This window comes from Homo sapiens, chromosome 13, assembly GCF_000001405.40.
Source record: "Homo sapiens chromosome 13, GRCh38.p14 Primary Assembly".
Taxonomy (NCBI): domain Eukaryota; kingdom Metazoa; phylum Chordata; class Mammalia; order Primates; family Hominidae; genus Homo; species Homo sapiens.
The window spans coordinates 35,603,126-35,620,151 of record NC_000013.11 but is presented as its reverse complement, the minus strand read 5'-3'; the positions used below and the strand labels follow the sequence as shown (position 1 = coordinate 35,620,151).

The 17,026-nt window shown below is 36.2% G+C and overlaps 1 protein-coding gene across 14 annotated transcripts in view; it reads right to left on the bottom strand.

Moving 5' to 3' along the window:
- The window catches only part of NBEA (neurobeachin), a 730,467-nt gene that overhangs the window by 52,585 nt on the left and 660,856 nt on the right, over positions 1-17,026 (bottom strand). For all 14 annotated transcript variants that reach the window (XM_047430271.1, NM_001385012.1, XM_006719803.4 and 11 more), the window contains one exon: positions 13,574-13,726. In XM_047430271.1, the coding sequence (XP_047286227.1) occupies positions 13,574-13,726 (153 nt within the window). The remainder of the gene's footprint in view (positions 1-13,573; positions 13,727-17,026) is intronic.

Here is a 17,026-nt window from a genome sequence, read left to right as displayed (position 1 = left end):
CAAACACATAAAACATCACCCGGAACACTCAACAGGTATCTGTTGAATAAACACTATCAGTGTTTACTGGGACTGTTTGTTTATTTGTCTGTGTCCCTAACTAGAGTGCACCTTCTGAAGCCACTCACTGAGTTGCTCATCCTTGTGTTCCCAGAGCCCAGAGCAGGATGAAGTGCATGATAGCCCCTTCATAATTACGGAATGAACGAAGGAATTTCTCTACTCTAACTTCACTTAGAGTAGGATCCATGGCCATTCTTTGTATTTTCCATAATGCTTTGCTCATAACTAGCTCTCAGTAAAGACTTATGGAATGAACAAGTCCTCAATTTGAGAAATAAGGAGGACACTGCAGTTCCAAGAGATAGGGTGTCTTACTTCCAAGTGTCATGGTGTGCGGTAAGCTGCACCTGACAGTGATGACTTGAACAAACCTTGAGAAAGACCCTGTATGGCAGACACACCTGAATGCAGTTGAGAGTCTCAAGCTAGGGAATTGGGGTGGCCAACCTGGAGATCCATTCCTTATCTGTGAAGAATATCTGAGCCCCCTCTGGCCCATCTCTTGGAACTCAGGCCATAATGGGAATCAAGGCCCTTTGTTTTGGGTTAAATGAAGGTTGCCAGATACAGGATGTTGTGGTTGGGTGGGGGAGTGTTAAATAAAAATGTGATATAAACAGCAGGTTTTTTGCAAGCGGTTGCAGTTCTGCTGTCCAGTCTGCTGCCACTGAGCCATATGGGTCTCCTGTCCAGCCTGCTACCACTGGACTTTCCCCGATAGGTAAGTCCCCAGTAAAACTCTATGTCATGCTCACTGGCTCTGGGTCTCTTCTTTGGCCTCTAGAACCTGGTGCCATCCCTGTTGAAGTTAATAGGGGTTCAGCACAACACATGGCTAACAGGTGTTCCAGAGATGGCACTCAAACACAAGATGTCTATCTTGATATTTTGAATTCCTACATAAGACTTCCAAAAATTCTTATGTTATTTGCTTAAAATTCTTTTTTAAGCTGGGGTTTTTAAAAGTAGATTATACCCCAAATGCAAATTTTTACATTTGCATTTGGGGTATAATCTACTTAAAAAAAAAACCCAGCTTAAAAAGGAAACATTTTCTTTGAAATACGGACATTCTGTAAAGGTTATAATACAATATGAGCAGAGCCACACTGGAGCTTGGCTTCCCCTGCCTCAGTTGCTGTGCATGCTCTGCTGACTGCAGACAGCCTGTACTTGGCCCAGCAGCACCAGGAATCTGCTGGGCTGAGGGCGAGATGAGATTATCAATGCACATCCGTGAAAGGGCCTTTTTCTAAAACAAATTTTTAAAAGGGTAGATTATGATGGATGAACCCAGCATTAGGGTAATGTTATCAGATACTTTCTATTTCTGTCCTTTGTCAGAAGGTCAGATTATAATCAGGTTAGAACTAAACACAATGCTTTATTAATGTTTCATGAGTAAGTCAGTCTAATAAGCCTAGCTTCATGTGGATAAATTAAACCAATTCTTGACGTATAAACTTAATGACCTTAGAATGCATTGAAATGTCTACTAAATGTGTCTGTATCGCTTTTCCAGGTTTTCTAGTGAGAGTAAACTTTGTATTTCACAGCGAAACATAACTCTTGGCACTGTATTTACAAAACAAACAATTCTAACCAATTACATACATGTTATTGTCCATAACTTAAACAACAAAGTACTGCTTCATTTTTTAAAAAAATAAAAAATGAAATTAGGTTGTAGACATGTAAAGTCTGCTACAAATGCATCAAATACCTGCTGTTCAATTGCTGGCATGCAGTAATAAAGCTGGGCATTTAATCATCAATGATATCACTTTTTATAATATTTTGTCATCTTTGCCTTGAATTTCTTAATGACAGTTTGAAAGAAGGAGGGAATACTCATAGGTACAGAATACTAATCCATACAAAGAAATGGAGGTTTTTTACCACTGTGAATGTCATCTCTTTGGAATATATGACATTTTCATTTTATACTTTAGGCTCATTACAAAGAACTCTTTCAAATAACTGAAGATAATCCTAGTCAAAATTATAAATATACTAGAGCACATTTTCTCTAAAGCTATTTCATAAGAACTAAATCCTGTATGAATTACCCAGCCAATATAAAGTTAGAAACTTTTAAAGTTACAAAACAACATAAAAAATACAGCCTATATTCAAGGAATTTATGGAAAATTTAAATACTTGATATTTTATATGAGTGCCTAGACTTTGTATATTACATAAATACTCACCAAATAAACATTCCTTCAGCAAGTATGAACATATGTAGATAACTGGTTAAACTTTTTAGTTTTAACACAGATATCTGACATTATTTCTGCAAGAGATCAGTATGATCATTTCCTAGTAGTAGGATGAGAAAACCGACCAGGAGTTGGAGCAACAGAAACTATGAAAAAGGTGCTATGAAGGAAAACTTCAAGTTGAAGCAGCACAGGAGACACTGAGAGACGAGCAGCTGCAGAATCATGCAGCCACATTTCACGAGATGTCTTTGCGTAGCGTTGATGCTTAAGACAGTTCTCAGAGGCAGCAGTGTGGGCTTTTCCTTTAGCTCTAATTCTGAAGCAACTAAGAATGGCTGCTATAGCTGTTATGGATACAGCTTTTTGTTGACACACAAGGTAGCTTTCCCTTTCTATTCCGTAGGCTTCCTTCAAGGAAAACCCAGAAGCACAACACAGAAACAATAAGCACTTTTCAAGTGAGGCACTCCTACACGTGATCCATTTCACCCGGCACTGCTTCCAGGTGATGCAGAGAACACAGACTGGGGCAGTTTAATTATCCTGAATATGCAGAATTTTGTATAAAGCCTTTCGCTCCATGGAATAAAGTTTCAGTTCACAAGTCTTACCAGATCCATTAATTCCTATGATGAAATAACAGGAATTTGGTTTAGAACATAGGGAAACTGCAGTGCCTTGCTTCTCTCATTCCTTCATGAACACAAGTTGGAACTTACTACTTACAATTAAAATGGACTATTCATTTCTGAGAATGTTTTATATTTCCAGAGATGCACAATATGTATCCTTCATATATTAGTTGTAAAACTTAATTCTTCTGAATCTGCGAGAGTAAATATTTGAGGAACAGTGGCTTCACTGAATTACATATGAATCCTTACAGTTCCTAGTGCATTGCACACAGCTGGCTGGATTAATATGTATTTACAGGGATGCTACACCGTGAGGCTTATTTTAAAGAAGCACACTTTGAATAAAGTCTGCTTATCAGCACTTTAGATGTTAAAAAGACAAGTTATAACAGGTAAGAAGTATATATAAACAGAAGTCAGTTCTTAAACTGGTCATATTAGTATCAGGAGTAAATTATTTGTTATATTTAATTTATGTGCAATATAAGTACTCTGAGCAATTATAAATTTTAAAAATTGTTACTCAGAATTTGTATTCATGTGTTTTATTCTCTCTTACAGTAAGAGGGAAAACCTACTTCAGAGTTTAAATTGTCTTTATAGTATTATACAATTTTTCAGGCTATTCCTTTCAATGAATAATCTGTTAATTCTCTAAAACCCAAATGTCATGAAACCATCTGGTGAGAATCAGGTTTTTTAAAGAGACTTTTTAAAAGAAAACCTGTGTATTGATCACATGTGTACTGAGACAGACCAGAGTGTCACTGAGGAAAACTGAATTTTAAGTCTGGGTCACAATTAGGTGTTTGGAGGCCATCTAAGCACAGATACAGACAGTTTGCAAATAACAAACAGGATATTCCAAAGTTTCTTTATAATTTGGTGATTGGAATATATATTGCAGTAGAAACAGTATTATTCTACTATGGTTTTGTTCGCAGGTCAATCTATAAATTAAATTTAATTCAAAATACAGGTGGAATTTTACAGACTTTAAGACGGAACAAGGGGACACTACATTCAGAGTTCCAACTTGTGACACCAAGCATGGTTAGTTAGAAAAGCACTTGGGTTCAGAGTTTCCATGAACCACTTTGCCTTCCTAGGCCTCAGACTCCTCATTCAAATAAAGGTGTATTCCAGTTCTAAAATCCCATGACTACAAAGCTTAGAATGTAAATGAATATCATTTCTTCCATTTGTAGAATTGAAGGAGGACACACTTCCTCTCATACCAGATGGGCAGAGAGAGCTGGCACTTCCTCAGCTGTAAGTTCAGGGTTTCCTGGCAGTGAAAGGAAGCCTTACGGGTAAGGGTGGAGGGTAAAAGATATAGAAACAGGGACCATAGACAGTCAGGCCCTAAAAGCTGCTGGGGCTGGACCATGCTGAATTCTCATCTCTTCCCATCTTCTGCTCACCCTACGGAGCTGGCTTCGGATTTCCTTCTCTTCTCCTTTCTCCTCTCCTCCACGGCTCCTCTTGCCTGCCACCACCACTTACCTATCCTGGAGACTGTGAATAAGAACACTGACACCTTGATAAGGTGGTGGTATTTGGCATGTAAATTTACCTCAATGGGGCCGAGCATGGTGGCTCAGGCCTGTAATCCCAGCACTTTTGGAGGCTGAGGCAGGCGGATCACCTGAGGTCAGGAGTTCAAGACCAGGCTGGCCAACATGGTGAGACCCTGTCTCTATTAAAAATACAAAAAATTAGCCGGGCGTGGTGGTGCATGCCTATAATCCCAGCTACTCGGAAGGGTGAGGCAGGAGAATCACTTGAACCCAGGAGGCGGAGGTTGCAGTGAGCTGAGATCGTGCCACTGCACTCCAGCCAGGGCAACAGAGTAAGACTCTGTCTCAAAAAAAATATATTTTTACCTCAATGGGTTTCAGGTCAATAACTCCTCAGCTAATTTTTTTTTTTTTTTTTTTTGAGACAGGGTCTTATTCTGTCACCTAGGCTGGAGTGCAATGGTGTGATGTTGCCTCACTGTCCACCTGGGCTCAAGTGATTCTCTCACTCAGCCTCCCGAGTAACTGGGACTATGTACCACCATGCCTTGTTAATTTTTTTTTGTTTTTTTTTTTTTTGTATTTTTAGTAGAGATGGGGTTTCAACATGTTGCCCAGGCTGGTCCTTGAACTCCTGGTCTCAAGCGATCGATCTGCCTTGGCCTCTGAAAGTGATTTTTTAAGGATTAAAACAATGATGCACCTGAAGTTCTAGCACAGTATCTGGCACAGAATACACACTCAAATGGCATGTCCTACAAGCACTATCATTGCCATTATGATATCCTGGTCAACCTTCATATCAGGATGACTCAGGACTATCACTAGGGTATGGGGTAAGGTGGCTAAGATTAGGGTATCCATTCTGATTTGCAGCAGTTGTCAGCAGTTAAGTCTTGGAATGAGGAAAGAGGAGAAACAAATGCAAGCAGCTATACTAGGGGAGAAGAATGCCTTAGGCCAGCCAGATAGCTGTTTGCATGTAAGAAGAAGTGTTAACCTGGTGCTGCCTGTAGTTACATTAATTTACTAAGGATGGTTTTGTCACTTCATCTGTTGATACACAACTTCCAAATCAGCAGTGGCCAGTGAAACTTGAGGTAGAGGCTAAAGTCACTCCCTATCAGAGCTACAAAATTCACATTTCCTCTACGGCCTCACTGAGCACTTGACTGATTCTTAAGCCTTATAATAAGGGCTTGATACAATGAATTATCTGGTTTTGTAGTCTAGAAGAGATTGTAAACAACCAATTTTCATTGGTATGGCTGAGGGCTATTAAAGGGAACTGTACTGATAGCTGACAACCTGAAGAAGAAAGTAGAAAATAATAGATATGGAATTATATCACTTCATGGAATAACAATGGGTACTCAGGATGATAAACTTGACTTTTTTAAGTAAAAAATGAAGTATCATTCCTTGTATAAAAGGGCAGGGAACAAAGTAGTAATAAATTTTAGAAAGATAACCATAATACAAGGAACCGAAACTACTCAACAAGGAAACAAATAATCCTATTAAAAATGGGCAAAGAATTTAAATAAATATTTCTCAAAAGAAGACATACAAATGGCCAATGGACATATGAGAAAATGTTCAACATCTCTAATCATCAGAAAAATGCAAGTTAAAGCCACAGTGAGATATAACCTTATACCTGTTAGATTGGCTATTATAAAAAAGATGAAAGATAAGTGTTGGCAAAGATGTGGAGAAAAGGGGAACAACTACGCTGTTAGTAGTGGCATAAATTAGTAAAGCCATTTTGGAAAACAATTTGGAGATTCCTCAAAAAACTAAAAATAGGCCTGGCTTGGTGGCTCATGCCTGTAATCCCAGCATTTTGGGAGGCTGAGGTGGGAGGATTACTTGAGCCCAAGAGTTCAAGACTCTTCCATCTCTATAACAAATTTAAAAATTAGCTGGGTGTGGTGGCATGCACCTGTGCTCCCAGCTACTTGGGAGGCTGAGGTGGGAGGATCACTTGAGCCCGGGAGTTCAAGGCTGCAGTGGTCACTGATTGCACCACTGCACTTCAGTCTGGGCAAGAGTGAGACACTGTCTCAAAACAAACAAACAAACAAACAAACAAACAAAAACAACTAAAAATAGAATTACCATATAATCCAGCCATCCCACTAGGTATTTACCCAAAGTAACTGAAATCAGTATGCTAAAGGGATATTTGCATTCTCATGTTCCCTGCAGCATTATTCATAATAGCCAGGATATGGAAGCAACCTAAGTGTCTACCAACGAATGAATGGATTTTAAAAATATGGTATATATAAACAATGAAATGATATTCAGCTTTAAGAAATAACAGGAAATTCTGTCATTTGTGGCAACATGGATGAACCTGGAGGATATTATGTTAAATAAAATAGGCCAGGCACAGAGATACAAATAATGTATGATCTCACTTATGTATGGAATCTAAAAAAGTCAAACTCATAGAAGTAGTGAGTAGAATGGTGGTTACCAGAGGCTGATGGGAGATATGGATAGGGAAAGGGGAAATGTTGGTCAATGGTGCAGTTACAGTTAGGAGGAATAAACTCTGGTGTTCTATTGCACAGCAAAGTGACTGTAGTTAATTATTTATATATATATGTAAATATATATATTTTTAAAATATATTTTAAATGTTCTTACCACAAAGCAATGATAAATATTTGAGGTGATGGATATGCTAACTATTCTGACTTGTATACATATATCAAAAGATCACAGTATACCCCATAAATATAAACAATTATTAATTGTCAATTAAAAATAAAATAAAACTTAACAGATAACCATAATGCTTCTAAAAAGTTCTCACTTAGGAAAATCTAGAAAATTCATTTATCTGGAAAGTTTATTTAGTTGGATTGCATTACCACCCAACACACTAGTTGAATGTAGCATTTTCTGCAGATATAGGTAGGTCTTGCTTGTTTAGCTTATACCAACATTAATTATTTAAAGGTTTCTCATCAACAATAATTATTAGCTTTTCCTACATTCAAAAAATTTGGGGTATAACACTGTCTAGGGGATTTGTCTTTAAAAGCAAGACTGGCTTTTCTATTTCATTTAGGCACATCAGTAATAAAATTATTAATTCTGGGGGCATACAAACTTCTTTGACTATGAAGAACACAAATTCTGTGTCTATAATGAATCACTAAATGTTTTATTAAAATAAATCTAAAAATGTTTTAGCATTCAATAAATACATGAAGAGATGCTCAATATCATTAGTCACTAGGGAATATATATTAAAATTGTAGGCCAGGCGCCGTGGCTCACGCCTGTAATCCCAGCACTTTGGGAGGTCAACGTGGGCAGATCATGAGGTCAGGAGATCGAGACCACTCTGGCTAACACGGTGAAACCCCATCTCTACTAAAAATACAAAAAATTAGCCGGGCGTGGTGGCGAGCGCCTGTAGTCCCAGCTACTCAGGAGGCTGTGGCAGGAGAATGGCGTGAACCCAGGAGGCAGAGCTTGTAGTGAGCCGAGATGGTGCCACTGCACTCCAGCCTGGGCGACAGAGCGAGACTCTGTCTCAAAAAAAAAAGAAAAAAAAATATTGTAATGAGATATTACCTCACATTCACTAGAATGGCTGTAATAAAAAAAAAAAACAGGTAATAACAAGTGGGAGTGAGGCTATGGAGGAACTGGAACTGTCATACATTGCTGGGGAATGCAAGGTCATTTTGAGAAACAGCTGGGCAGTTTCTTAAGAAGTTAAACATAAATTTACCATATGACCCAGCAATTCTACTCCTAGGTCTATACCCCAAATAAATAAAAATGTATGTTCACATAGAAATTTGTATATGACTGTTCATAGCAGCATTACTCAAAATTGCCAAAAAGTAGAAACAAATCAAATGTTCATCAACTGATGAATGGGTGAACAAAATGTGATATTCCACACAATGTGGTAGTATTATGTAAAAAGTTGGGCAAAGTACCAATACATGCTACAACATGGGTGAATCTCAAAAACTACTCAAAGAAGTCAAACTCAAAGACCACATATTGTATAATTCCTTTTATATGAAATACACAGAAAAGGCAAACCTTTGGAGATAAAAAGTTGATTAGCAGTTGCCTTGGGCTGGAGGTGGGCAGGGAATCTTTCTGGGGTGGTGAAAATATTCTAAGATTAGACTGTGGTGATGGTCATATAACTGTTAAAATTTACTAAAAATCATTAAATTGTACACTGAAAACAAGTGAATTTTATGATATATAACTTATATTTTAATAAAGCCGTTAAAAATGTTTTGGCATCATCCAAGTGACAGCAAGAAAGTGATTTTGTTACATGTATCAGTGCTTGGTTCTTTTTTATGGCTAACTAGTACTTCATAATATGGAGTTACTATAGTTTATTTTAGTTTGTTTATCCCTTTACCAGGTGAGAAATATTTGGGTAGTTTCCAGCTTTTGATGAAAGCAAATAAAGCCATTATAAACATTGATGTACTTGTATAAGTTTTCATTTTTGGGGGGCTAAAACCAAGAAGCAGGGTTGCTGGGTTATATGGTTGGTGTGTGTTTATAAGAAACAACCAAACTGTTTTGTACCAGCAGGATATGTGAATTTCAGCTATTGTGCATCTCTACCAGGGCTTGGGATGTCAGAGGTTTTTTTTTTTTTCCCCCTTTTAATTTTTAAAGTCATTCTAATGTGTAATGGTAGCTTACTGTGGTTTCAATTTGATTAATTTTAATTTGTGGATTAATTTTTGATATGAGGCATCTTTTCATGTGTTTATTTGCCATCTACATATCTTCTTCGCTGAAGATTCTTTTGCCCCTCCTTTAAAAAAATTAATTATCTAAATATTGTTTTATTTTTATTGATTTTTGAGTGCTCTTTATATATTTTAGATCCTAGTCCTTTATTAGATGTGTTTTGAAATATTTTTTCTCAGCCTGTGGCTTGTCTTTTAATTTTCTTACAGTAGTGTTCAAACAAGCTAAGTTTTAATAAAGTCCAGTGTATCAATGTTTTCTTTTATAGGTTGTGCTTTTGTTGTCATATCTAAAACATCTTTGCTAACATAAAGTCACAAAGATTTCCTCCTATATGTTTCTTTTAGATGTTTGATAGTTTCAGGTTTCAAACTTAGGTCCATGATCTATTTTGAGTTAATTTTTTTATATGGTGTGATGTAAGGACTGAAACCTTCCCCTTCCTTTTTTTTGGATATAGATATCCAACTCTTCTAGCACCAATTTTTCCAGCACCATTTGTTGAATGCCAATTTATCTTTATTTTATTTTATTTTTTTGAGAGAGGGTCTTGCTCTGGTGGAGTGCAGTGGCGCGATCTCGGCTGGAGTGCAGTAGCGCAATCTCGGCTCATTGCAGCTTCGACCTCCTAGGCTCAAACGATCCTCCCACCTCAGCCTCCTGAGTAGCTGGAATCACAGACACTGTGTCACCACACCTGACTAAGTTTTGTATTTTTTGTAGGGACAAGGTTTCACCAATTTATCTTTAAAGCCTGTTTTGCCATGTCTATTAATCAGGTAAAGCAATAAACACAGCAGAACAGCTAAGAAGACAGTGTGAGCTATGAGCAGAGAGGAAGACAAAAAGGAGGAAAAACTGTGGGGACCAATTTCTATAGCAAACAAATTATTTTTCAGTGGACGAATCTGGAGGCATTTGACCAATCACTTAGTCCACTGTTTCCTATGTCTGCATTTGGAAGCATCAGTGCAGACGTACTCCTAAGAAGAGATATCACTGAGGACCTTTACTTCCACCTATCTTTGTTATGACTTCGGCTCATTTACAGAGCAGGCAGCTTCTCACCAAGACCACTGACTAGCTGTGTTCCTATTTCCAAACAGCATTCTGCGCAGGCTTTCTCTATCTGGAGAAGTATTTACCTGTATTATAATTAAGTACTAGTTTAAATACTTAGTTACTCCTGTTCTCACTGAAATTTGCTATTGGTAACGCAAGATAAGGGAGCTGCTGCAAAAACTGAAAGGAGACATCATACTCTCTCTCCAATGGCTTCTTTTCAATACAAAAAAGTCTCTGCTTAAATAACTATAATGAGAAACTGATCTTACATAACTGCTTTCAAAAATGCTAACGCCAAATGCCCTATGCTTTTCACAACACAATTTTGTTAATTTAGGCCTCTACTAGAAACTTAAGACAAGATGGTTTAGATCATTTACATGAGAGCCCACTTCCCCAATTTTTAAAAAACATACGTCCTTTCCCTGTATCATAGTAAATCTTCGCTCATCCTAAAACTTTCTTCTCAAACTTTCAGTCTTTTATTAAGAAGGCAAATCCCTTTCCTAAAGTTATCTGTACACTGAATGGAATGGGTACCACTGAAAATAGTACTCTTCTAGCAGGAAATGTGGCCTAGTCCTGGGACTGGGAAACAACAGTGGCCTCCTGCTCATCCAGTCTGCATTACTGCATGTTTAGAAGTCTAAAAAATGTCATATACATTTCCTGGTACATTATCAGTAAACATTAGCAAATTAATAAATGTGAAATGTCCAGTGGATAATAAAGATAACCACTCTATTTTTCTTTAATGCATATTTAAGCTTAGTATACTTGCAGTCTTTATCTGTGAATGATCTGCATTAACCATGTCCACGAAGTTAAAGGAAATAAATAAGGTCTGGATTGACAATTATAAACCTAAAAGTAGAGATCGAATAATCTCAAAGAATTTCACAAAGAAGAGATAATATCAGAGGTAGCTGGCATACTGGAAAGAGTATAACTTAGGAGTTAAAACTTTTCTGTACTTGAATCTGGGCTCTGCCATGGATAAATTATGAAACATGTCTGGCCTTCATATTTCTTATCTGTAAAATAAATGTTAAAAAAAATCAAGTGCCTTGCTTAATGCCTGACAGGTAAGAGGCACTTATTATCAGCACCCATATGAGAATTCTGTTCAATAGCATGATCAACAAAAGCATTGGTCCAACAACTATTGGCTACTTTGCTTGCCGGAGTGAAGGATTCATTCAGTTTGACTGGTTTGGACTTAATAGACTATATGCTAACAGCTATGAGATTACTACACCTCTATAATTCATTAATTCATTCATTCACTCAGAAATATTTCCTGAACAACTAGTATGTGCCAAGCAGGGCTCTGAGCTCTGGAGCTACAATGGAATGATGTGACTGAGAGATATTGATATACAATGAGCCTTTAGGGTTCCATTTGTAGCGCTGGTATCCTTACACTGATATTTACAGATAACATTCAAGTATGTGAGAATAATGTGGTGATGAAATACCAATTCTAAAAAGAATCAGAAATTTTCAGAAGTATATATTACTGAAATATAAGTCATTCACATTAAAAATATAAATTGAAGAAATAAGCTATTGTTCAAGGGAATAGTATGAAATAACTGCATATATCTGAAAGTGCCAATTTAACAGATTGAGAAGTGAGAGAGATTGGCAATAAGACTTATGCAAAACATGAAATTTTCTTAAAAAAAAAGGGGGGAGAACACATTGCAGATTATCTAGATGATGCTTTTAAGCATAGGTATATTACATCAGCAACTTTCTAAAATAAAGTACGTTAAAAGTAAAATATTTCTTAGAGACAGAACATACAGCTCCAAAATAGAAGAAAATGTGTGACTGACAGTAAAGTCCAAAAGAAAAGTGACAGAAAATCGAGAGGAGGGGAGGAGAACCCCATATTTTATGATTCTGTTTACATGAAATGTCTAGAATAGTCAAATCAATGGAGATATAAAGTAGATTTGTGTTTGCCTTGGGCTAGCTGGGGAGAATGGGGAAATCAGGAAAAATCGGGGAAGATGCTAAAAGGTATGGGGTTCTCTATGAGGTGATAAAAATGCTCTTAAATTGATTGTGGTGATGGTTGCACAACTTTGTGAATGGACTAATATTCATTTTTTTTTTACTTTAAATGATGAACAATTTGCACAGGATATGAATTATATTTCAATTAAGCTCTTTAAGAAAAGAGGATTAAGGAATATGTGAATTCCCTCACAATGTGTGGACCTTATTTGAATTCTGATTCAAATAAATAAGCTGTAAAAACAAAATAAAATATATTTATCAGACAGTTGGAAAAACTTGGGAGTGAATGAAACAGGGTTAAAAATATATTTGGCGTCATTGGTTTTATTGATGTAATTCAAGAGTACACTAGAGAGGCTGTTTTGTAAAGTGGTTTATTGTCACCTACTATAACCATGTTGGGATTAAAATCTCCTTAAATATGTGTGAAATGTATTAAAACCCATCAAATTCCCATATGTGAACATTCTGTTTATACATTTCTCATTTAAACACCCAGATATCTGTAATATAGCTTAAAATAATGATGTTTTCTTCTGGGAGGCCTAGGTAGGAGGATTTCTTGATCCCCGGAGTTCAAGATCAGTGCGTGCAACATAGTGAGATCCTATCTTACCAAAAAAAATCTTTTTTAAAAATTAACTTGGCATGGTGGCATTTGCCTATAACCCCAGCTACTCAAGAGGCTGAGGTGGGAGGACTACTTGAGCCCAGGAGTTTGAGGCTTTAGTGTGCTATGATTGCACCACTTCACTCCAGCCTGGGCAACAGAGTGAAACACTGTCTGTAAAACAAAACAAAAAAAGATGTTTTCTATTTCAGAATGTTTACACCATAAGGTATGTTTCACAGCATAAATATCGCACATATAAATATGTTCTAAATAAATTTTTTTCTGTTCTGAGTGTTTTTATAAGTGAAAAAAGCGTTCAGATTTAGTCAGTAGATAAAACTAAGAAATAGGCATTTATTTTAAGCACTTTAGAATACATTATATTAGTCAACAGATGCTCATCTGATTGTCTTCTCCTAAAGGAGCAAACATAACTGAATTACCATTGCTTTATTAGTCCTCATGAACGGAAAATCCACTCTACAATAAGGAATGCTGTCAAGACAACAGTAAAATGTTTTCTTTTTCATTTAAAATTTTAAGCTTGTATTTATAGATGTTAAGTATAATTGGTAATATTATAGTAAAGAACAGGACAAAACAAAACTACAGAATATGTTAACTCCCTGATGACTGCCCAAGCAAAAGCAAAATCTCTCTTACCATCCTGTTGATCCGCACAAAGTCTTCAGGTTTTTTTGCCCAAGGGGGAAGATCAACATCATTTACCACTACTTCATCTTCTCTGACTCCAAGATTATATCCATTACTGTTGACAAACATCTCTGGTAGGTAGTAGAACTCTGGAATTAGTTCCTATCAGGAATAAAAATGAAGCATATTAAACCACTTTATAAAAATCAGTTGAATAAAACTATTAACTTATAACTTATTAACTATAAATGGAATAAAATAATTTCTTAAAACCAATATTTTATGAATTAATTCTATTCTATTCTTCATTTAATTTTATTTAAAGATCTGAGATGAAGCATTTCTTGTGAAAAATTCACTTGAAAATTTATGTTTATGATAGCTACTTTAAAATGTTACCTATTTTCAATCTTATCCTCCCATAAATTAATGAAGAGAAATGAGTATACAAATTAACAACAGTTCACAATAGCATTAGAAAACAAATATGTAAAGCTATATAAACAAGTCTATGTTGTGTAAAATCTTCATCTGAAAATTTATGAACTATCCAAATTAAAAACTAATTGCCAGTATTTGTAATAGATCACATATTTTCTACTTTTGTTTTTAACTATACTGACAATTACAATATGTGATTTTTATAAAGAGATTCATAGTTTTTTTTACTTGATAAAGTAAATTATTTTTATATCAATCACTGAACACAATAAAAGAGATGATACACAATATGATAAACAGTTTTAAATATTTAATGCATGCCATAGAAATGACAGGTTCTCAATAAATTGGATGCAAAGACAACTTGTGTTACTTGTATGTAACTGTAGCATAAACAACTGGATTCAAGGAGAACTTGTGTGTGATGTACAGCATCTAATTTGAGGTTTCTGTTACTTTAGAATAAATCTGATGTAGAAATGAACTGATTTTAATACCCTGAAAGTTTTTGTTGTTTTTTAAAAAGTAATTGGGAGAAAATTAAAACAAACTGCTGTAGTTTTTATGTGTACCATCCTGATCATCTTTTTTCAAATATCAAGATAGGGTTGTGAGGCTACACATTTATTTGTGTAATATGATCAACATTGATGGCATAGCATCTGAAATTTAAATCTCACTGTAGTCTTTTCTAGGGATGCATAGAAAAAATTAAAACCACCACATACTGAGGTCTTCAAATAAACTGGATCCCTAACTTTCTAGAAAAAGCATATATAAAATCTTTCTCTTCACGAGTTCTCCCACTAAAACTGATATATCTGTTTTAAGTGGGCATTCATTTTAGTAACACTCTGTGTGAAACTGACCATTACTCTTATGATGATCACTGTGAGCCATAAGAAAAATATAAATGTTCATTTTCTCCAGCATTATGGGTGCATCAACAGGTCCATATAAATGATTTTTCTGGATAAATGGAGCTTTGCTTTTTAAGAATCTCAGTTTTCTTCTATTTAAATAGAAATCTTTCTAAAATCCTTTACATATTTCTCTGACATTTACTTATGCATACAGTAAAGGTTTTTAGTACCAGAAACTGTGATGTGTACTCAGGAAACAAAAAATGAACAAGACATGGCCTTACTGTCAAGTAATTCATAGTCTGGCCTGTGGGGCAGATGTAGAACCAGATGGTTATAATACACAATAGCAGCTGAGGAAGAAGGGAGCAGGGAGGAAAGAGCAGGGGATTCTGGGCAAGTCAGGAGAGACTTCATTGGAGATGGGCCATTGGAGTTGGAGCATGGCTAAGATGAAAACCAGAAGAGGGGGCCGGGCACCCTCAGGGAGTTATATGGAATGGTGAGAAACTGAGCACAAGAGGAGAACAGGGTATATTGTGGGTAGATCAAGACAAGGGAGGGATGAGATGGTGGGAGGTATATGAGGCCAGATGGATGAGAAAAGTTTAATGAAGGATACGCTGTTTGGATTTTGTCTTAGTGGTTTAGAAATTTTAAAAAAGAGTTTTTAACACAGTCAAATTTGTTTTATAGCAAGACACTGGGTGACAAAGTAAAGGAGAGATTGGAGAATGGGAAGATGTGGTGTATATGCATGTATAGGGAGGAGAAAGAGAGAAGGGCAACTGCTAAGTGTGGAGAGAAAGGGGCCCTATTGTGGAACTTTATCAAAGAGGGGAAATCTACAACAGAGCTAAAGAGAGGGAATTAGATGGCTCACACTAGGGGCCAAATGTGTATCAACAATAAACTATGTACAAGACCTCAAGGCCACAACGAAAAAGGAAAAGAGAATTCTAGTGGAATTAATACAAATTAATATAATTTTTCAATGACTCCAATATGAACGGGGAAATGGAGAAGAGGCTGAAAGAAAAACCATACTGTAGAAAACACATGTTCATTTGCCAAAAATCATACAGTTTAATTGAAGGATAAGACAGGCTAAAGGGCACTTCAGCAGTGACTATTCTATCAGCAATGACTATCATGAGTTTGATTTCCAGGCTGGGCAAACATGACAGTGTTTATCAGTCACGGAAGGAGCAGTTTGGTTTGATCGCTGACAGGAGAGTAGAAGTAAAGAATCACTGCTGTTCTCATGTATTGGCATCCAATCAGAAATGCATATTATTATCTTATGACTTCAATGTATGAATGTAAAATATATAGTTTCTTCTGCTCTTACTCTCACTCTTTGGGAAAACATGAGGAATTAGTAAAAGGCGCAGAGAAGGCAAAGACTATTGCTATTTGCATATGACCTGGTCTTCATGTGACACAATAGCAATAACACCCTAAAGGGTCCAAAGTGGGAAGGAACGTAAGCTTGTGCAGCTGCTCGGTTGGGAGTGTGATTTATATGTACTAGACTCACATAAATCAGGTGTTTCCCTTACTGCCTTTCGTCAGTTATTTGTGCTCATGCCCTATCTCTACAACGAGGCTACAGAAGCTTCCTTGAGGGCAGAGAGGAACGTATATATCTACATGTACATAGCAAAATATATTTAGTTTTATTTAAACAACTAAAATAGTCTTAATTTATCTTATACCATCTTGGCACTCTATAATGTTTTTCATATATTATTTCCCATTCTTTCCTGTATAAAATATGTGGTCATTATTAACCTACTTACCACTACAATGCAATTTCACTGAAAGTCATTAAATTAGATTCACAAAGGCGCAAGAAACATAGGATGTCATATTTATTAATGTGAATAAAATTGGGGAAAATGCAATTTTAGTATGAATAAAATCTGGGCAAACGCAAAGTTTTGAGCCTATTTTGTGAGGTTTATGTTTTGTTGGATCCTTCGTAGCTCTCAGTGCTATACTTTGCACGCAGCAGGTGCTCATTAAATATTAAGCTATTAAAGATATTGGATGAAGTTATTTTAATAAGACTAGAAATCTGGGGAATACACAGATGGTCAGAAAAATGCCTCAAGATGGGGAAAGAGTGAATGAAGAACTTTATTAAAGAAAAGGA